We start from the raw sequence: 22674 nt of genomic DNA, 5'->3' as shown, positions 1-22674 counted from the left end.
GGAGAATTGCTTGAACCCAGGAGACGAAGTTTGCAGTAAGCCAAGACTGTGCTACTGCACTCCAGCCTGGGCAACAGAGCAAGATTCCGTCTCCAAAAAAAAAAAAAAAAAAAAAAAGGATCACATGTTCCCTTTCCTTATGCTGACATACAAGGATCTTGGCCAAATGGTTGAGCCCAAAGCAAGGAACTAGGAACAGCATATACTAAGTTGAGAAGACTCAATTTCATGGGCTCCTAAAAAGCTCCATAATGAATAAATGCATAATATCCTTGAGTAGATCTCACACCTCCTGGAGATCCAATTACCTCATCAATAACATGAGTTCCCTGAACTACAGAAATAAAGAGTTTTATGAGCAGATGGGGTGAAAGGGCACTTCCAGAAAGGACATGTACAAATACAGTTTGCCCAATCAGAAAACATCACATTTACGGCAATACAGTGTGGTATCTCCACTTAAGCACTAAGTGGCCTCTGATACCAGATTGATCATAGTTTAACAAGCCGATAGTTGACCGTGTAACTAACAATGGTGTACAGAGAGAAGAACATCACTGTCAACCTTTGCACACACACAGATTCCTACTGCATCACCATCTGCAGTATTGAAGACTGGAAACCTGGACCTCCTCCTTGACTCTTCATTTTTCCTTTATGCCTTGCAGTCACCAAAAGCCTCAGAAATGTCTCCTGAATTCAGTCCCTTGCCTTCATCCTTCAAATCCAGCTGAAATCCTCCCTTGCTAATGACAGCATTAATCCAGGGAATGGCAATCTACAGCCACACAGTCTAATATGGCAGCCACTGGCCACATGTGGCTATTCATTATGTTTTTAAATTAAGGATTTAGATGTTCACCCAATTACAAACTGGTTTTAAATGCTAGGAGGAAAAGAAAAAGAGCAGACAAACTTAAAAGTCACACTTGCAATGTAGCTAGTCCAAATGGGCATGTGTGATTAAGCAAAATACACACTGGGCCAGGCGCAGTGGCTCACACCTATAATCCCAGCACTTTGGGAGGCTGAGGTGAGTGGATCACCTGAGGTCAGGAGTTTGAGACCAGCCTGGCCAACATGGAGAAACCTAGTCTCTACAAAAATACAAAAATTACCTAGGTGTGGTGGCACATGCCTGTAATCCCAGGAGGCTGAGGCAGGAGAATGGCTTGAACCCAGGAGGCGGAGGTTACAGTGAGCCAAGATTGCGCCACTACACTCCAGCCTGGGCGACAGAGTGAGACTCTGTTTCAAATAAATAAAATAAAATAAAATACACACCGAATTTCAAAGATTTACTATCAAGGAAAGAATGTAAAATGCCTCATTAGTAATTTTAAAACATTTATCACATGTAGAGATGATAATATTCTGGATATATTGTTTTAAATAATATTTATTACTAAAATTAATTTCACCTGTTTCTTTTTATATTGTAGCCACTAGAAAACTTAAAATTACACATGGAATGTGTATTTCTTTGGCACACCACCGTTCTACATTGTTCTAGGTCTCCACCTCAGGCCATCTTTCTCTCAAATGCTGCCTCCTGTCATATACCCAAAGCTTCTGCCACATGGACTCTTTGGCCCAGTAACAACATTTTCTTTTGTGTTTCTTTGCCTTTATACATCCTATTCTGACCATAATGTACTTTCTTCCCTCAGTTCCACAGGAAAAATTCCTAGTCATCCTTGTAGAACCAGTTCACTGTTCCATTCCCTCCTGAAGCTTCCCCACATCCTCCGTGCTCCCCATCCCCCTTCAGCATTTGGTCCCCATCTCCATTTCAGAACCGTAGCCATCTAGTTACATTTTTCTCCCTCAAGACTTTTTTTTTTTTTTTTTTTTGAGATGGAGTCTTGCTCAGTCGCCCAGGCTGGAGTGCAGTGGCACGATCTCGGCTCACTGCAAGCTCCGCTTCCCAGGTTCACGCCATTCTCCTGCCTCAGCCTCCCGAGTAGCTAGGAGTACAGGCACCCGCCACCACGCCCAGCTAATTTTTTTTGTATTTTTAGTAGAGACGGGGTTTCACCATGTTAGCCAGGATGGTCTTGATCTCCTGACCTCGTGATCCACCTGCCTCAGCCTCCCATAGTGCTGGGATTACAGGCATGAGCCACCGCGCCCAGCCAAAAATTTCTTAAACTCCTTTTCATTTCAGTATCTCTGACACTGCAAGTGGAGAGTGTCCAGAATCACCTGGGCAGCTTTTCTAAATTGTCCATGCATGGAGGGTCTTGCCCAGCATCTTTTAAAAGCTCCTCAGGTGGTTCATTATCAAAGAGCAACAGCTCAGATTTCTTGAACACTCGCTGCTAGGCAAACACTAAACTCAGTCATTTACGTGCACTCTCACCACATTTCCTCACTGAAGCCTTGTCACCACCCCAGAGGAAGCAGGCACCACTTCCTGACTGGTTCTGAAGCATGACCCTGGTTAAGAACCACTGCCTGGCATAGAGCAAGCATTCCAAACACGTCTGCTGAGTGAATGGATACAGAATCTGGGTAATTCTCAATGCAGGAAAATGAGGAGTTGTTTCGAGGATTAAAAAAAAACACATGGGTTAGTGAATTAAATTCTTGGATTATAAAAAACAGAGGCAAACAGAAAAACGATGGCATTAACAGCCAAATCTAAGGCTGGTTCCTCTTAAGCACCAGCCAAATAGAAAAACCTCTGATAAATCGAGTAAGAAGAAATTTTTAAAAGATGAACTTAAAGATAGGAGGATAAGGCTGGGCACAGTGGCTCATGCCTGTAATCCCAGCACTTTGGGAGGCCGAGGCGGGCGAATCACCTGAGGTCGGGAGTTCGAGACCAGCCTGACCAACATGGAGAAACCCCATCTCTACTAAAAATACAAAATTAGCCGGGTGTGGAGGTGCATGCCTGTAATCCCAGCTACTCAGGAGGCTGAGGCAGGAGAATTGCTTGAACCTGGGAAGCGGAGGTAGCGGTGAGCCGAGATTGCGCCATTGCACTCCAGCCTGGGCAATAAGAGCGAAACTCCGTCTCAATAAAAAAAAAAAAAAAAAAAAAAAAAAAAAAGGAGGATAAACAGAACAGTGAAATATACACACTAGTGTGTTAAGAAATGCAAAAAATCTTAACAAAAAACTTTTAAATTCTAAACTACCAATGTTTACACAAAAAAGCAGAAACCTTTATAATTGAGGAGGAAATAGAGAAAATTGTTGCCAAAACATCTTGTCTATAAAAATCCTGAGTCTAAATGTTTTATAGGTAAATTCTTTCAAAAGACAGAAAAAGGTGAAAAGCAATCTGAATGTTTCTACAAATTAAGGATAAGCATGACACCAAAACCCATCCAAGAGAGTGCTTTCTCTCTGGTGGCTATTTCCCTTAGTAATACAGATATTAAAAAATGATCAACTGGGCCGGACACGGTGGCTCACACCTGTAATCCCAGCACTTTGGGAGGCTGAGGCAGGTGGATCACTTGAGGTCAGAAGTTCGAGACCAGCCTGACCGACATGGTGAAACTCCATCTCTACTAAAAAATCAAAACTAGCCAGACATGGTGGTACACGCCTGTAATCCCAGCTACTTGGAAGACTGAGGCAGGAGAATCGCTTGAACCCAGGAGGCAGAGGTTGCAGTGAGCTGAGATTGCCCTCTAGCCTGGGCAACAAGAGCAAAACTCTGTCTCAAAAAAAAAAAAAAAAGAGAGATCAACTGTATTTTGAAAAACTTATGTATTACAACCAAGTGGAATTTTATCCCAGCATTATGTATAATAGTAAAAATTTCAGAAACAACCTAAATGTTCTCTGAGAAATGGCTAAATAAATTTTGGTACATTCATACAAAGCAATATAATATAGTCATTAAAACTGATTTTAAACAACAACAAAAATAATCCTCATAAAATTTATATGAAATTTAAAATACATTGTAATTAAAAATGTTTAAGGGGAAAAATATGCATAAGGAGAAAAGAAAATTCACCAAAACAAATACAGAGGTCCTAAGGAAGAGGGATCATAAATGACTTTTTTCTATTAAAAAGTCTAGATTATTAAGCAAGTAATACCCAGAATATATAGAGAACTCCTAAAAATCCAACAAAAAACAATTCAAAAATGTGCCAGGAACTTGAATAAACATTTCTCCAAAGAAGATACACAAAGATGTTCAAGAACACTAATTATTAGAGAAATGCAAATCAAAACTACAATGAGATATCACCTCACACTGGTTAGGATGGCTACTATCAAGATAAAACAGAAAATAACAAGGGTTGGGGGGATGTGGATAAATTAGAACCCTTTGTGCACTGTTAAGAATGTAAAAAGATACAGCTGCTATGGAAACAGTATGGTGGTTCCGGAAAAAAATTACCGTATGACCCCGCAATTTCTCTCTGGGTATATAACCAAAAGAATTTAAAGTCAGGTCTCAAAGAGATATCTGTACCCCCACGTTCAATAGTTCAATGCCTCATGTTCATGTTCAGTGCCATAGCAGCATTATTCACAATAGCTAAACATGTAAACAAAGCAAGTGTCTATCAATGGATGAATGGATAAGCAAAATGGAATTGTATTTAGCCTTAGAAAGGCTTTTATTTTAAAGCACTGTATTCAGCCTTTAAAAGAAAGTTCTGATATATGCTACGACTTAGATGAATCTTGAAGACATTATAATAAGTGAAATAAGCCAGCCACAAAAAGATATACTGTGTGATTTTGGCCAGACGTGGTGGCTCACGCCTCTAATCCCAGCACTTTGGGAGGCTGAGGTGGGCAGATCACTTGAGGTCTGGAGTTCGAGACCAGCCTGGCCAACATGATGAATCCCTGGCTCTACTAAAAACACAAAAATTAGCTGGGCGTGGTGGCGCATGCCTGTAGTCCCAGTTCTCAGGAGGCTGAGACAGAACCGCCTGAACCCAGGAGGCTGAGGATGCAGTGAGCCGAGATTGCACCACTCACTCCAGCCTGGGTGACAGAGCAAGAATCCGTCTTAATAAAAAACAAAACAAAACAAAACATACTGTTTGATTCCACTTATATGAGATAGAGTAGTTAAAATCATAGAGATAGAAAGCAGAATGGTAGTTGCACGGGCTGAAAGAAGAAAGAATGAAAAGTTATTGTTTAATGGATTGTAGAGTTTTCAGTTTTACAAGATGAAGAATTTTGAAGATGGGTAGTGGTGATGGCTGCATTACATATGAATGTATTTAATACCACTGAACTGTACACTTAAGATTGTCTTATGTGTATTTTATCAAAATTTATAAAAACTGACAAAGATTATATCAAAGGTAAAAAGTCTCTAATATTATATATGCTCACATACTTTAATAAAATATACTTTGTTTTGAGTCAGAGTCTTGCTGTGTCGCCCAGGCTGGAGTGCAATGGTGCAATCTCAGCTCACTGCAACCTCCACCTCCCGGGCTCAAGCAATTCTCATGTCTCAGCCTCCCAAGTAGCTGGGATTACAGGCGTGTGCCTCCACACCTGGCTAATTTTTGTATTTTTAGTAGAGATGGGGTTTCACTATGTGGCCCAGGTTGGTTTCGAACTCCTGGGCTCATGCAATTCGCCTGTCTCGGCCTCCCAAAGTGCTGGGATTACAGGTGTGAGCCACTGTACCCGGCCATAAGATATACTTTAACAAAAGTAATACAACACGGAAAAGTAAGGAAAAGAATCTTATTTTTGAAACAGTTATTTTTTGAGACGGAGTCTCGCTCAGTCACCTAGGTTGGAGTGCAGTGGCGTGATCTCTGCTCACTAAAAGCTCCGCCTCCCAGGTTCATGCCATTCTTCTGCCTCAGCCTCCCGAGTAGCTGGGACTACAGGCACCGGCCACCATGCCTGGCTAATTTTTTTGTATTTTTATTAGAGACGGGGTTTCACCATGTTAGCCAGGATGGTCTCGATCTCCTGACCTCGTGATCCACCTGCCTCGGCCTCCCAAAGTGCTGGGATTACAGGCGTGAGCCACTGCGCCTGGCTTGAAACAGTTCTTAGAGGAACAGGTTTTGACATCCTAACATCCTAAAGACAAATTTTTTAAAAACTGTTCAGTGCAAATCACATTGTTTCATGTAATCATTTTATCAGAAAATAAAATAGGCTCATTGTGACTGGAAAATATAATTTGTGCTATATTAGTAGCAGAAAGTATAAAATTGCTGCTTGGGCTTAAGTGATTCTGAATGATCATGTTACCTCGTGTTTAGTCTGGGCAAGGGGTTGAAGGGAGGGGTCAAATGGCCTTACTCTGAAAGAGTACAAAACCTGGTACAGAGAAGGCTGGGTAAATGCACCACTCCATTCCATGTAAGAATATTATAATAGGAGTGCATGGGCCGGGCGCGGTGGCTCATGCCTGTAATCCCAGCACTTTGGGCGGCCGAGGCGGGCGGATCATGAGGTCAGGAGATCGAAACCATCCTGGATAACATGACGAAACCCCATCTCTACTAAAAATACAAAAAATTAGCTGGGCATGGTGGCACGTGCCTGTAGTCCCAGCTACTCTGGAGGCTGAGGCGGGAGAATCGCTTGAACCCGGGAGGCGGAGGTTGTAGTGAGCCGAAATCACGCCACTGCACTTCAGCGCAACAGAATGAGACTCCATCTCAAAAAAAAAAAAAAAAAAAAAAAAAAAAAAAAAAAAAGGTGTTCACAGGTGCTATGGGCACACACAGGAGCGGTACCTAACGTTACACGGGAAGGTGCAATCTCAGCTGAGACTTAGAGACCACCTCCTGTCAGCTCAGGCTGAAGCTGAGAAGGGGAACCTCTGGACAGAGGGAGCTCGGACATCCTTGACTACAAACATCCTGACCTGATTCAGCAAGTGGTCTGGTTTCCCCTGGTGGCCCCAGAAGCATCTTGTCTAAGTTTGGGTGACCTAAGCCAGGTTTTGCTGGGTCTGTTCACCCTGATGATCTAACCAGAGCTTCTGTAATCCAGAGTCAACAGAGACCAGGCCCTGACCCCTCCTCCCCATTTCCTCTCTATCAAGGAAATCTCTTCTCTAACATGAAGAGATCTGGTTCTCCATATGAAGCATTTTCCTTATAAAACTTCCCTCATTTCTCTTTTCTGTTTTTTTGTTTGTTTGTTTTGAGATGGGATGTCTCTCTGCTGCCCAGGCTGGAGTGCAGTAGTGCAATCATAGCTCACTGTAGCCTCAAACTCCTGAGCTTAAGTGATCCTCTCACCTCAGCCTCCCAAGTGGCTGGGACTATAGGTGTGTGTGCCACCACACCTAGCTTAAAACTTCTCTCATTTCTTACTGCTCTGGTGGCTTCAACTTTAAGAATGGCAAATGCCTTTTTTGTTTCCTAACTAAAAATGTAGTACACATGTTATGAAAAAGAGGCCAGCCAGTGTGGTGGCTCACACCTGTAATCCCAGCATTTTGGGAGGCCAAGGTGGGTGGATCACTTGAGGTCAGGAGTTCAAGACCAGTCTGGCCAACATAGTGAAACCCCATCTCTAGTAAAAATACAAAAAATTAGCCGGGCGTGGTGGTGCACACCTGTAATCCCAGCTACTTGGGAGGCTGAGGCAGGAGAATTGCTTGAACCTGGGAGGCAGAGGTTGCAGCGAGACAACATTGCACACTGCACACTGATAGAGCAAGACTCTACCTCGAAAAAAAAAAAAAAAAGGGCAGGCCAGACACAGTGGCTCACGCCTATAATCCCAGCACTTTGGGAGGCTGAGACAGGCAGATCATGAGGTCAGGAGATCGAGACCATCCTGGTCAACATGGTGAAACCCTGTCTGTACCAAAAATACAAAAATTAGCTGGGCGTGGTGACACATGCCTGTAATCCCAGCTACTCGGGAGACTGAGGCAGGAAAATAGCTTGAATCAGGGAGGCAGAGGTTGCGGTGAGCCAAGATCACGCCACTGCACTCTAGCCTGGCGACAGAGCAAGACTCTGTCTCAAAAAAAAAAAAAGAAAAAAAGGCAAATAAGGATGTATAATGTTTACATAGACATTGCTACTAACAATCCTATAAATACACAGCTATATCTACGTAAACATTCTAAATGGGTATCCCGGCTCCTCCATCTCTGCTCCTAGTCCCATCCCGCTTCAGGTGGAGCCAGTTCAGGAATTTGTTAACTATGTTCAGGGGAAAGGTCCCACTCATCAAAACACCTCTCTAAAGGAACTATTATCAAATATAATATCAAACTTTTTATCCTAGGATTCATCATTCATGGCAATCTTTTAAAAAATCTATGAAGTTGTATTAGTTCCCTGCCCCAAATCACCAGCTCAAGCTACACTGGCCTCTTTGCTGCTCCTTGAATACACCAGACATACATCTTGCCGCTAGGCTGTTCCCTCTGCCCAGAGCACTCTTCCCCTACACATCTACTCCCTCATCGCCTTCAAGTCTGCTCAGGTGTCACCATCTCAATAAGGATAAGGCTTACCCTGACCACATCATTTTAAATTGCACCCCGACTACAAACCTCCCACCTCCCCACTCAGACCCCCTTACCTTTCTCTACCTTTTTTCCCTCTTGAGATACTACTGCCTTCTAGGATACCATACAATTTATTTATTTACTGAATTCTTCTGTCTGTCCTCTCTAGAATGTAAGCTCCTTGAGAGCAGGGTCCTAATTTTGTTCACTGAAGTTATCCCAACTGCCTAGAAAAGTGCCTGACACATCATAGGGCTCAATGACTACCTGGTGAATGAGTAGATGAATGAATGATGAATGAACGAGTTACAAGGCCAAAAAGAACAAGTCCAAACTCCTTCTATTCTCCTCTACCCACTGCCAGCAGCCCACAGCTGGTGTTACAAAGAAAATGCTTTAATGAACATGCACCGCCATCTTCTTGCCTCCCAACTCCCGATTCACCAAATCAATCAGCTCTACCCTCTCCCTTTTGTTTTTTGGGGTTGGTTTTTTTGAGATGGAGTCTCACTCTGTCACCCAGGCTGGAGTGCAGTGGCAGGATCTCGGTTCACTGCAACCTCCACCTCCCAGGTTCAAGCGATTCTCCTGCCTCAGCCTCCCTAGTAGCTGGGACTACAGGCGCCCGTCACCATGGCTAGCTAATTTTTGTATTTTTAGTGGAAACAGGGTTTCACCATGTTGGCCAGGCTGGTCTCGAACTCCTGACCTCAAGTGATCCGCTTGCCTCCGCCTCCCAAAGTGCTGGGATTACAGTCCCCTTTTGTTTTCACCTGCTTAGACTCTGCTCCTATTCAAAGGTGAAAACTCCACTGACTTCTTCCCACCGGCAGAATGTCCTGGTCCCTCTCAACTCCAAGCAGCCTCTGGACCTCCGCAACAACACTTGACACCAGCTCTCTTGCGCTCTACTTCTGCAGGAGACTGTCTGCTCCCACTAAATTAACTTTACAGTTAAGCAGTCACAGGACTCATTACTAATCTTTGCATTCCCCTGAGGGTCATGCTCAGGGAACCACTGCTAAAGGGAAATTTCTGCCTGAAAAGCCCCGTTTAGGACCAGTGTTCTGTTCTGTCCTTCATCCCTGGTTATCTGCAGCCTGAGTTAGATAACCCACATGGACATCATCAGGCCATTCAATGAGAATGCAACTGAGCCAGGGCGTTCAGGGAACATAGCTTGAAAAGTCAAGTTTACAGTGGTCCTTAAAATTCACTGCTCAGAACATGAATCCACTTTCACCACTAAAAAGGTATCCTCCCACTATGGAAAAGACCAGAGTCCCTGATGAGGTGTTAAGTCATCTAATTCTCACAAGCCTATGGAGGATACTTTGCATGTAAAGGGGATAACGATCATGATGTGCTCTGGCTCTCCTCAAACCAAGTAACTGTCTTGTTTTAGTATTGGCAGGTGTCTTACTCCTTAAGGCTCATCCCTGTAAAAACAGAAACATATAATAAGAAGTATATATATATATAAAAACGCAGGCCGGGCCCGGTGGCTCACGCCTGTAATCCCAGAACTTTGGGAGGTCAGGAGATCGAGACCATCCTGGCCAACATGGTGAAACCCCATCTTTACTAAAAATACAAAAATTAGCTGGGCATGGTGGCACATGCCCAGCTGTGGTGGCTCACACCTGTAATCCCAACACTTTGGGAGGCTGAAGCGAGCACATCACTTGAGCTTAGGAATTCAAATCCAGCCTGGAGAAACCCCATCTTTACAAAAAAAAACAAAAATTAGGCCAGGCGTGGTGGCTCACATCTGTAATCCCAGCACCTTGGGAGGCCAACGTGGGCGGATCAATTGACGTCAGGAGTTCGAGACCAGACTGGCCAACATGGTAAAACCCTGACTCTACTAAAATACAAAAAAATTAGCCGGGTGTGGTGGTGTACACCTGTTAATCCCAGCTACTAGGGAGGTTGAGGCAGGAGAATCACTTGAACCCAGGAGGTGGAGGTTGCAGTGAGCCGAGATCATGCCACTACACTTCAGCCTGGGTGACAGAATGAGACTGTCTCAAAAAATAAAATAAACCAAAAAATACAAAAATTAGCCGGGCATGGTGGCGTGCACCATGGCAGAGGTTGCAGTGAGCCAAGATCATGTCACTGTACTCCAGACTGGGTGACAAGAGACCCTGTTTCAAAAAAAAAAAAAAAAAAGGCATGATGTATTGTATGCTTAATTCACTATAAACTGCTCTTTTAAAGGACATTACTAAGTTGGTGTTTTTATCTTTTAAATTTTTTTTTTTTTTTTTTTTTTGCAGAGACGGAGTCTCACTATGTTGCCCAGGCTGGTCTCAAATTCCTGGGCTTAAACGATCCTATTGCCTCAGCTTCCCAAAGTGCTGGACTTACAGGTGTGACCCACTGTACCTGGCAACTTGGTATTTTTATTTGAATTGATCTTGATGTCTCACACACCTAGCAACTACAATCTGTCATTTTCCCTTAATTCTAAAGAGAATGTAGATTCAAAGATACAGATACCATCTGGATCTTGATGTATTTTCACCAATATGTAAATCAATGGATAACCTTAGAGTTGTGACGCTTCTAGAAAATGCCCCCTCTGCCACAAGAATAAATGGGTTCACGAATCAGCCTCACATTAAGGTGAAGGCTGGACTTCTGGCGGTGGGGAGTGAGTTGCTCTATTACATTTTTGTTAAAGCAGAAAAGGACAGACACAAAAAGCTCTGGGAGAATCAGCCCTGGTTTTATTTTTGGTTGTTTTTTATTTTGTTTTGTTTTTGCCTCCTTGCCCAAGAAAGCCCATCTCCAGCCTCTTCCTAGACATGTTCTAACCAGGCTTCTACGGCCCCTTACGGACTCTCTATGGGCCCTGGGTCAGAAGCTGGGGCTCCTCTCTCCACACTTGCCGACAGTCACTTCCTCCTCTACAGTGTTCCATCCTGTGACCCCACTCTCTCCATTTCTTATTGACAAGAGTTCAAAAAACTGGCGTGGCATTCAGGACTCTCAAAACTGACACTTCCCAACGCATCCAATCTCAACTCCTCCCACAAGATCGCACCACACTGGCCCTCTCTACCCCACAGAGCAGCCTCCCCTTTGGGAATCCAGCTCCCCAAAGCCTGGGGTTTTCCATGGCCAGGAGGCTCCGATCGAGCCAAGCAAGTAAGGGAGTCGCCAGGCAGAGAACAATGACTGCTCCAAACACCCTTGGGAGATGGGATGGATAGATGGATGGGATGCCCAGGAGGTTAGGAACGCGTTGCTCACCTGGGGCGCGGCGGTCGGAGGCCTCGGGGCCATTCCTGCCTCGCCAGGGCCCGGCTCCGGGGCAGGAGCTGGGGAGAAAGGACAGGGCCCACTCACCCCGCTGCAACACCGACCCCACCCCGCCCCGCCCCGCCCCACCTCCGCCCCTAAACCACATCTCCAGGGGAGATGGTGGCGAGGACCGTGGAACCAGCCCGGGCCTGCCGCTCCCCATCCCCGAAATGAAAGGCTCAGCGGCCTCCCGGACACCCCCCTCCGGCCACGCCCAGTCCCCTTCGCAGGGTGGTGGGCGAGGCCCGGCTGACACCCGCCAAACCCAGGAGGGGTCCCGCCCAGACCCGCGCACTCAGAATCACCGCCTCTGGGGGGCTCCGGATTTCGCGACCTCCGGCCCACCCAGAGCCTCGGGCAGCTCCTCCCGCCCCCGCCGAAGCCTCGGTTATCTCCAATTCTGATCTGCGGAGGGGCTGCCCAAAGGGGCCTCAGCCGCACCGGGGTCGGACAATGGCCGCAGCGGTGGGGCAGAACTGGAAGTGCGCCTGCGCACTCGGAGCCTCGCTCCTGCAACCCCGGGTCCACGCCGGGCGCGCGAACTACACTTCCCAGAGGCCCGCGCGCGCAGGCCCCGCCTAGGCGGCTTCCGAAGGCGCGTTAGGGACCCTTGCGAGGGCCGAGGGAGGCGGCCAGTGTGGCTCGAGTGTGCGTGTCCCTGTATTCCAGTCACTGTCCGCCTCCTCTTTGCAAGGGGCTTGTTGCTAGCTGGGGAATCGGCCGGGAAAGACCCTGGTTTCGGGGAGCAATCGTACGCCCCTTTCGACGAGGCTGACGATAAAAACGCAAACATGTCAACAAGATAATGTCAGGTCCTGACTTCAGCGGTAAGAGTGACACAGGAAGGGAGTGAGACAGCGTCAGAGGGTGGGGCATTTACATCTTCTTCAAAAGGCAATTTTCCATTTCTCATTTTAGAGAAAAAAGAAACTTCGGACAAATCCGTGGCCTCCTGAGCAATGTGCAAAGGCAGATCTACTGCCGTGTTATTTCATTACTTCGTATCCCCTTACGCAGGATTTTGTTTGGGACAAGCAAACAATGATGGAAATTTTCTTTTTTTTTTTTGAGACACAGTTTCGCTCTTGTTGCCTAGGTTGGAGTGCAATGGCGCGATTTTGGCTCACCGCAGCCTCCGCCTCCTGGGTTCAAGCGATTCTCCCGCCTCAGCCTCCCGAGTAGCTGGGATTACAGGCATGCGATGCGTCACCAGGCCCGTCTAATTTTGTATATTTAGTAGAGACAGGTTTTCTCCATGTTGGTCATGCTGGTCTCGAACTCGCCTCGGCCTCCCAAAGTGCTGGGATTACAGGCATGGGCAACCGCGCCCGGCCCGATGGAAATTTTCAACACAAAGATAGGTCAACTTTTAGATACAGCTATTACGTTTATGTAATTATGTCTTATATATCACAGACATTCAGGCTACATTTCCTAGATTTCAGCTTGATTTCTTAACATTAGAGCATTGCATACCAACATGGTAGAAAATGACTGCAACGAAATGTTCCTGATGTCACACTGCTTTATCAAAAATATGAACATTCAAAAATAAATGCTTTATGCCGGGTGCGGTGGCTCAAGCCTGTGATCCCAGCACTTTGGGAGGCTGAGGCTGGCGGATCACCTGAGGTCAGGAGTTCGAGACCAGCCTGACCAACATGGAGATAGCTCGTCTCTACTAAAAATACAAAATTAGCCAGGCTTGGTGGCGCATGCCTGTAATCCCAGCTACTCAGAAAGCTGAGGCAGGAGAATCGCTTGAATCTGGGAGGCAGAGGTTGTGGTGAGCCGAGATTGCACCATTGCACTCCAACCTGGGCAACAACAGCAAAACTCCATCTCAAAAAAAACAAAACAAAAAAGGGAGAAAATTTCCATCACTGTTGGCTTGTCCCAAACACAAAATCCTGCGCAAGGGGCTAACAAGTAATGAAATAACACGTCAATAGCACAGGGAGGCTGAGGAGGGAGGAGCCCAGGAATTAAAAGACCAGCTTGGGCAACATGGCAAAACCCTGTCTCTACAAAAAATACAAACATTAACTGGTTGCAATAGTGTGCGCCTGTGGTCCCAGCTACTTGGGAGGCTGAGGTGGGAAGATCGTTTGAACCCGGGAAGCAGAGGTTGTGGTGGGCTGTGATTTCACCACAGCACTCCGACCTGGGCGACAAAGCGAGACTGTCTCAAAAAATATATATAAAAATTAATGAATGCTTTCTATCACTGCTTTGTGAATATAGTGGTCTGGAATTAGCAGAATGCATAATTCACAAGTATGAATTAGAGTGGACCGGGAGGCCTCTCTGAGGCAAGTGACTTAGTAGCTGCAACTTAAGGCAACTGCAGGCTGGGCATGGTGGCTCACGCCTGTAATCCCAGCACTTTGGGAGGCTGAGGGGGGCAGATCACTTGAGGTCAGGAGTTCGAGACCAGCCTGGCCAACATAGTAAAACCCCATCTCTACTAAACATACAAAAATTAGCAGGGTGTGGTGGCGTGCGCCTGTACTCACAGCTACTTGGGAGGCTGTAGCAGGGGAATCGCTTGAACCTGGGAGGTGGGGGTTGCAGTGAGCCAAGATTGCACCACTGCACTCCAACCTGGGTGAGAGATGGAGACTCTGTCTCAAAAAAAAAAAAGCCCAACAACAACAAAACAACTGCAGGTGCATAAGGGGAAAAGAATTCCAGGCTGAAGAAACTGAAGGTGCAAAAGCTGTCAGATGGGAACAAGCTTGGTGTGCTTAGGAACAGATAGATGCCTAATGTACCTTAGCAGAGTGAGGGATAAGAGAGTGAGCAGAGCAGAGGTAGGGCAGGTAGACTGGGACTTGATGGAACAAGGCTTTGGAGGTTGTGATGAGGGGTGTGGATTTTGAGTGTGATGAGAGCCATTGGCTTAGTAACAGCAGTGGAGTCACTTATTACTATGAGAGAATAAGAGGAATTTTTCCTACTGTCCCAGAATTGGTAACCAGGTCTCAAGAGTTGAGGATTAAGTTCTGCATTCTAAGGAAAGATGAAAACATTTGGGGTGAGAACCTCTCAGGTCTTATCAAAGGAAGCTGGGTGCTGAATTCTGAATTTGCTGTTACTATTAACCACTGACGCAATGCCACCCCTCTTTTCCCAGGCTATATAAGAGTATGACGGGAAAGAAAAGGAAAAATCCGTACCCAGGCACAGTGGCCTATAATTCCCACACTTTGGGAGGCTGAGGAGGGAGGATCGCTTGAGCCTAGGCGTTCCAGACCATCCTGGTCAACATAGTGAGACCTTGTTTCTACAATAGTAATAATAATGCCAGGTGTGGTGGCATGCCGGTAGTCCCCAACTACTGGGGAGGCTGAGGTGGGAGAATCAGCTTGAGCTAGGGGAGGTTGAGGATGCAGTGAGCTGAGATCGTGCCACTGTACTCCAGCTGGCGTGACAGAGCAAGACCCTCTCTCAAAAGAAAGAAAAAGAATTCCTTAGACGAGTAAGCCTTCCACCTAGTGCGGAAGGCAGCGTTCACCACCGCTCCTACTTGCAAGATGAATGTGAGAAAGAGCACTCAAACATTGAGCCTACCCAGGAGAGCAGAGGTTTTAAAACCTGCACTGGTACCTCCCAGAGAAAAGGGAAAGAGAACAACGCTGTTTGTAAGGAGAGCAACCTGAATTTCTGCTGTTTGTGTAGAAAGTGCATGTACTGGAAAATAATTGGGCTTTTAGCCCCCAGGGGAAAGGTGCGCAGTTCACAATAGTAAGAGGCTATGGAATTAACTGGGTGTGAGAACTTCAGCTCACACCCATTTGGAGACTGAAGGAAGCTGAAGCAGAGCCGGGTGTTCCAAGTCAGGTATCTATTGGTTTCCTTTAAGGAACTCACAGATGCACTTCTGCTTCTGGGAGTGTGGCTCAGCAACTTTAATGCTGGATAAAATAACTTAAAAATCTTTTAAAATGTATTGATGAGCTAGAAAATTGGTAGGGAATACCGAGAAGCCCAAACCCAAACAAAATGAATAAACTTAGAGAGTAGTAGGCAGAACATGGAACGCTAGCTTTCACCTGGGAATCATTTGCCAAATGAGGCAAACTTGAGCTTTGTTTTTCTTTTTTTTTATTTCAGTCTCCGTAGAGACTGTCAAAAATTAAATTGCCAATGCCTAGTATAGCTCAAGTCATTATGGCAGTGTTGGGAAAAGTTTTCAATTAGCAATAATTGTGCCTCAGATAAACCTCATTGGTTAAGATACTGCCACTGCACAAAGCTAAGAGCTTTGTTTTTCATAGTCCTGTAGGCACAAGAGCCAAGTGACAAAACCCAGACCCCATCCAAAGCAGGGTATCTAATAGGAGACACTCCCCACCCCACCCAGTAAAAATTGGGACTCCATAGATGAATACTCCCATGGTAGAGACTGCAAGGTAAATTACCTGTTTCAAACTTTGACAATGAGTAGGGGCGTTGGTGGATATCTTTCCCGAGAATTTGTAACCAAACCTGGTTCCTATGTGGAATTACAGCCTGTATTCACAGTCCCTGGGTGGTCCAAAAAACTGCAAGCTGAGAATGTAGTTTAAATTGGTTCTCGGCTAACAGTGCTTCCAGGCATCTGGCAGAATCAAACATAAATCCAGTCTGGGAGAACTTACCTTCAGTCCAGGCTTCAAAGAACTTCCCCAGATATAATCCCAAGAAATATGAGCTCACAGCCATGAATCACAAACACAAAGCACATGCATAAAACATGGAACCATGAATGACAGAAAAAATAGTATAATATTCATAACAACCTCAAATATAGGGAGTTGTCAGACACAAAATTTATGATGTCTAATATGTTTCAAAAATTTATTTTATTTTTATTTATTTATTTTTTGAGACAGTCTTGCTCTGTCACCCAGGCTGGAGTACAGTGGCATGATCTCAGCTCACTGCAAGCTCTGCCTCCCAGGTTCACACCATTCTCCTGCCTCAGCCTCTCAAGTAGCTGGGACTACACAGTCACCTGCCACCAAGCCAAGCTAATGTTTTGTATTTTTAGTAGAGACAGGGTTTCACTGTGTTAGCCAGGATGGTCTCGATCTCCTGACCTCGTGATCCACCCACCTCGGCCTCCCAAAGTGCTGGGATTACAGGCGTGAGCCACTGTGCCCGGCTGTCAAAAATTTATTTTAATAAACTAAAGTAGGGGTTGGACATATGAATAAAGAACAAGAGTCCAAAATCTTAAGAACCAAATAGAATTTTAAAAATGGCCGGGCGCAGTGGCTCACGCCTGTAATCCTAGCACTTTGAGAGGCCGAGGCAGGTGGATCACAAGGTTAGGAGATCAAGACCATGCTGGCTAACACAGTGAAACCCCGTCTCTACTAAAAATACAAAACATTGGCCGGGTGTGGTGGCATGCGCCTGTAGTCCCAGCTACTCGGGAGGCTGAGGCAGGAGAATCACTTGAACCCAGGAGGCAGAGGCTGCAGTGAGCCGAGATCACGCCATTGCCCTCCAGCCTGAGCTACACAGTGAGACGCTGTCTCAAAAAAAAAAAAAGAAAGAAAGAAAATCTTTAAGTTAAAAATGTAATGCACATGGTTAATAATAGATTAGACACACCCGAAGATAAAATTAGTGAATAGAAGGTCGATCTGAGGAAATTATCCACAAATGGACAAAGAGATAAAAAAAAGTTTAAAAAAGGCAGAGAGCTATAACAATCTAATCTGGGTTCCAGAAAAAGAAGAGAATTGAGGCAATATTTGAGAAGATAAAGGCTGAAAATTTCCAGAACTGATTAAAGATATAAAGATTCTGGAATCCTGCCACTCCAAGCCAGATGAATAAAAATAAATTTACATTGAAACACATCATAGTGAAACTATAGAACACCAAAGATGATCTTTAAAATCCTAGAGAGAAAAAACAGATTACCTTTGAAGGAATGAAAATTAGAAGATGGCTAGCTGGGCGTGATGGCTCCCAGCTACTCAGGAGGCTGAGGCAGGAGGATGGCTTGAACCTGGGAGGTGGAGGTTGCAGTAAGCTGACATTGCACCATTGCACTCCGGCCTGGGCAACAGAGCAAGACTCTGTCTCAAAACAACAACAAAAAAGGAGAATTAGAAGATGGCAACAATGGAAGACAGCTAGAATTATATCTTCATCAATGAGGATTAAATAGAGGGATTTTTGGAAAAACAAAAAACAGAATGTCATCAACAGAGACTCATTAAAGTTGGGTGTCTTTCAAATGGAAGGAAAATGATTCCACATGCAGTCATATATAGACAAGGAAACAGTGAACAAAGAAAGTGGTAACTCTACCTCCCGGGCACGGTGGTTCACGCTTGTAATCCCAGCACTTTGGGAGGCCGAGGTGGGCGGATCACGAGGTCAGGATTATCGAGACCACGGTGAAACCCCATCTCTACTAAAAATACAAAAAATTAGCCTGGGCGTGGTGGCGGGCGCCTGTAGTCCCAGCTACTCAGGCTGAGGCAGGAGAATGGCGCGAACCCGGAAGGCGGAGTTTGCAGTGAGCCGAGATCGCGCCACTGCACTCCAGCCTGGGTGACAGAGTGAGACTCCGTCTCAAAAAAAAAAAAGTGGTAAATCTACGTGTAAATCTAAATTAAAATTGACTATATAAAACTATTGATTATGTCTTGTGGGTTTAAAAAAAGATGAAACTAAAATCCAGGTCAACAGAAAAAAATCAAGGTTCTCCTGATGAGAGATTAAAGGTTCTAAGATTATTATATTGTTTTGGAGGATAAAGAGGGACTTCAGTGGGTTGACTATATGTCAAAGGTCCCTATGGCCTCTCGGTCTCTCACTTTCTCTGAATGTCAGTATTTGTTTCTCTTTCTCCTTTATGAAGACCTCACAGCCAGTCAACTGAACTTTTTTCCTACCAGGGCTCTTGATTCTTTTATCCCCACTTGTGTTGAAACTGACCTACAAAGTCCAGTATCATGCCAGCTGAAAATTGCTGGGAAAATGAGCCTGTTGACAATTTTTATACCCACTTTTCAACCCACTTCTCCACTTCACCTCCAGTCTTAGAGACAGATGTTCCTTTGCTGATTTGGAGAAACGTGCTCTCTCGGGGTCTTTGGTCCCCAATCCCTTCTAATCTATCATCCATATTTCTTCTACATCTCACATTTTTTTCCTTTTGGCTTTTTCCATTGGACTTATAACCATGCTTAAATCTGTCCCTTCTGAAAGACACACACACACACACACACACACACACACACACAGATTTCTTGTCCCCAGATGTCTCTCAGCTCCCATTCTTCTTTACCCCTATGCGTTTCATCTGAACTTCTAGAAAAAGTATACCATCTTGTGAAGACCAAGTCCTCACTTCCCCTTCATGCCTTGTTTTGACTGTTGTTTGGCTTCTACCTTCACCTTACTCTGATACTGATTTTCCCAACATGTCCAGTGATTTAGCTAGTTGATGACCTGACTGGACATCAGGCAGATTTTATCTAATGCTTTATGGCACTTATCTCCCTGGAACTCTTTCCTCCACTGGCTACCAATACTGCCTTTTCTGGAACTCCTAGAATTTCTCTACATCCCACCTTTCTCCCCACTCCACCCATTTCCTTTTTTTTTTTTTTTTTTTTTTGTTTGAGGCGGAGTTTTGCTGTTGTTGCCCAGTCTGGAGTGCAATGGCACAATCTTGGCTCACTACAACCTCCGCCTCCTGGGTTCAAGCGATTCTCCTGCCTCAGCCTCCCGAGTAGCTGGGATTACAGGCGCCAGCCCCAACGCCCAGCTAATTTTTGTATTTTTAGTAGAGATGGGGTTTCACCATGTTAGCCAGGCTGGTCTCGAACTCCTGACCTCAGGCGATCCACCCACCTCGGCCTCCCAAAGTGCTGGGATTACAGGCGTGAGACACCACACCAGGCCCTTTCTTTTTCTAACAGCTTTACTGAGATATAAATCATATACTATAGCGCTCACAGTTTACAGTGTACAATTCAGTAGTTTTTACTGGATGTAGAGAGTTATATAACCATCACTATAATGGAATTCTAGAACATTTTCATCATCCCCAAAAGAAAACTTATGCCCATTAGTAGCCATTCCCTAATCCTACCCTGCCACCTTGCAGTCCTAGGCAACCACTGCTCTACTTTTTCTCTATGTAGTTTGCCTATTCTGGACATTTCACATAAATGGGGTCATGCGGTATATATTTGTATGTGTGTGACTGGCTTCTTTCACTTGTCGTGTCAGAGGCGTGTGACCCAGAGCAACTCCATCTTAAATAGGAGCTAGGTAAAATGAGGCTGAGACCTACTGGGCTACACTCCCAGACAGTTAAGCCGTTCTAAGTCATAGGATGAGATAGGAGGTTGGCAGAAGATAGAGGTCATAAAGACCTTGCTGATAAAACAAGTTGCAGTAAAGAAGCTGGCTAAAACCCACCAAAACCAAGACGGCAACAAGAGTGACTCTGGTCGTCCTCACTGCTATACTCCCAAAAGCGCCATAACAGTTTACAACTGCCATGACATCAGGAAGTTACCCTAAATGGTCTAAAAAGGGGAGACATAAATAATTCACCCCTTGTTTAGCGTATCAAGAAATAACCATTAACATGGGCAACCAGCAGCCCTCTGTTGATGGCATAGCCATTCTTTTATTCCTTTACTTTCTTAATAAACTTGCTTTTGCTTTGCACTGTGGACCTCGCCCTAAATTCTTGCTAGACAGCCAAGAGCCCTCTCTTGGGGTCTGGATAGGGACCACTTTCCTATAACAGTAGTGCTTCTGAGGTTCATACATGTTGTAACCCATATCACCAACGCATTCCTTTGTATTACTGAATAATATGATTATACGGACATATCACATTCTGTCTAGTCACTCATCAGTTGGTGGGCATGTGGGTTGTTTACACTTTTGGCTTTATTGTACTCCAACTTGGGCTCAAGTGACCCACCCGCCTCTCCTCCCAGGGTGCTGGGATTACAGGCGTGAGCCATCGCACCCGGTCTCAAAAATTTTTATTTATAAAACCTGGAGTTGCTATGGGAGAGGGGACCAACTGGATATTTTGGAGAGTGAAGCTCTCCCCATTCACAGAGCTCTAGTGGTTGGCTCGGATTTCTGCACAGACGGAGACACACACGAACACACACACTCGGGGGAATTCATCGGCTCCTGCTCACAGATCCAAAACGCCACCCCAACCAGAACCACCCCTAAGCCCTCAGCCCAGCGCACCAAGGTACCAGGTGCACCAGAAGTGGAGTCTGACTCGTGCAGCTCCGCTGACTGCTGCTGGGCAGGGGGCCCCGCCCAAGCTCTACGTCCTGAGCCTTGGGGAAGGAGCCGAGCCCCTGAGGAATGGGGGTTGGTCGACAGTGAGTCCCAGAGCAACGACGCGCGCCCCTCGACCGCGGCCCCGGGTTGGAGGCACCGACCTCTCTTCTCCGCTCCAGGTCCGCGCTCGGGGCTGGCGGCGGGGGTGCCGGGAGGGAAGCGGCAGGCTAGTTGCAGGGGAGGCGCCTCGCCCAGCACCTGCCGCAGGGGGTCGCGCAGCCAGACTCCGTCCCGGCAGTTGTCGAGTTGCAAGGCGCGAAACCCACCAGGTGCTAAAAGCCAGCAGCCATGTTCTCCCTCCCTGTAAGTCGCCGAGCCACGGGCTGGAAGGGGAGGGCGGGGGCGTGCCTCCCAGCCAATCACAAGCCACGTAGTTGGGCGCGCGCTCTCTCCATGACAACGGCCTGGGGTTCTGAGAGCTCCTCCGGGTTCTGCTAGCTACTCAAGAGTTCGAAGGCAGAAAAGACCGACTCGCAAGTCCCCTGGAAACCGGGAACGCAGGGGCGGGACGAGAGAGACTGGCAGAGGTCTCCACGTGCCCAAGTGGTGCCTCAAAGCCTCTTCAAACCCCGCGCCCCGGTGGGCAAGAAGGCACTCCTGGGCTTGGAGGGCGGAGGATGAGGCATTCAGCGGGACCTAGTCCTAACCCAGCCTGGGAGAGCATCAGGGACCCGTCGTTAACGTCAACTGCCTTTCTTGTTGCCTGCTCTATCTTTCATATCCACGAGGATCCCATTCTCCATGATGTGCTTATTTCACGTTGCATGTCTATCAAAACATCTCATAGACCCCGTAAATATATACACCTACTGTATACCCACAAAAATTAAAAAACAAAAAGAAAAACATCTACAAGGGACCGGGCTTGGTGGCTCACACCTGTAATCCCAACACTTTTTGAGAGGCCGAGGCCAGGGGATCGCTTGAGCCCAGGAGTTTGAGACCAGCCTGGGGAACACAGTGAGACCACCCCCCACCCCCGTCTTTACAACAACAAAACAACAACAAAAACAAAACAAAAACAGAAGCAAACAAAAATTAGCCAGGCGTGGTGGCCCAGCTACTTGTGAGGCTGAGGCAGGAGTATTGCTTGAATCCAGGAGATCGAGGTTGCAGTGAGCTATAGTCGTGCCACAGCATTCCAGCCTGGGTGACAGAGACCCTGTCTCAAAAAAACAAACAAAACAAAACACATTAACATCCCCGTGGATTGGACCTCCAGTTCCTCACTCGACCCGGCGTGGGTCCAGCCTTCTGGATATCCAACTTCCAGTAACTTAAAACGTTCAATAAAGTGCCCCACCCTCTGGTTTCCATGAAAACGGTGAGAAGAGATGGGACTCAACGAATATAGCCAGATCCGCTTCTATTAAGCTGGAGAACCTGCGATTCCCAGAGCAACAGGGAACCGGGATCCCCTGACAAGAAAACAAGGCTGAACCACTAAGTGGGACCTGGGTAGCTTCTGACCCTCTCTGCAGCGTTTGAGGCCGAAATGCGCGCCCACTAGCTTTTGACCTCGCGAAAGCGTGTCCCAGCACCTCGGCTACCTTTCCTCTACTGACACCAGGCGCCTG

At 46.1% G+C, this 22674-nt stretch overlaps 1 protein-coding gene and 1 pseudogene across 17 annotated transcripts in view, besides 2 other annotated features; both read right to left on the bottom strand.

Moving 5' to 3' along the window:
- ZFP90 (ZFP90 zinc finger protein) overlaps positions 1-18054 on the bottom strand; it is a 43028-nt gene extending 24974 nt beyond the window's left edge. For 5 of the 17 annotated variants that reach the window (NR_130976.2, XM_047433639.1, NM_001305206.2 and 2 more), the window contains exons 1-2: positions 12054-12242; positions 11708-11775 (exon numbers count right to left, since the gene is read on the bottom strand). Coding sequence is in view for 14 of the 17 variants with exons in the window: in XM_047433639.1 (XP_047289595.1) it covers positions 11708-11740 (33 nt within the window). In the remaining 3 variants the exon portion in view is untranslated. Of the gene's footprint in view, positions 1-11707; positions 11776-12045; positions 12243-17677 lie in introns of those variants that run through there. The other 12 variants (XM_047433640.1, NM_001305204.2, NM_001305208.2 and 9 more) reach the window with 5 other exon arrangements.
- On the bottom strand, positions 15872-16018 carry RNU4-36P (RNA, U4 small nuclear 36, pseudogene; annotated as a pseudogene).
- Positions 20967-21026: an enhancer, noted in NCBI's record as "active region_11023". NCBI's record gives its function as "activates an Ori minimal core promoter by ATAC-STARR-seq in GM12878 lymphoblastoid cells {active_cell/tissue: GM12878}" and the evidence as "EXISTENCE:reporter gene assay evidence [ECO:0000049][PMID:35858748]".
- Positions 21497-21556: an enhancer, noted in NCBI's record as "active region_11022". NCBI's record gives its function as "activates an Ori minimal core promoter by ATAC-STARR-seq in GM12878 lymphoblastoid cells {active_cell/tissue: GM12878}" and the evidence as "EXISTENCE:reporter gene assay evidence [ECO:0000049][PMID:35858748]".

Source organism: Homo sapiens, chromosome 16 (genome assembly GCF_000001405.40).
Source record: "Homo sapiens chromosome 16, GRCh38.p14 Primary Assembly".
In the NCBI taxonomy this organism is placed as follows: domain Eukaryota; kingdom Metazoa; phylum Chordata; class Mammalia; order Primates; family Hominidae; genus Homo; species Homo sapiens.
This window is presented reverse-complemented; position numbering and strand designations above follow the sequence as displayed.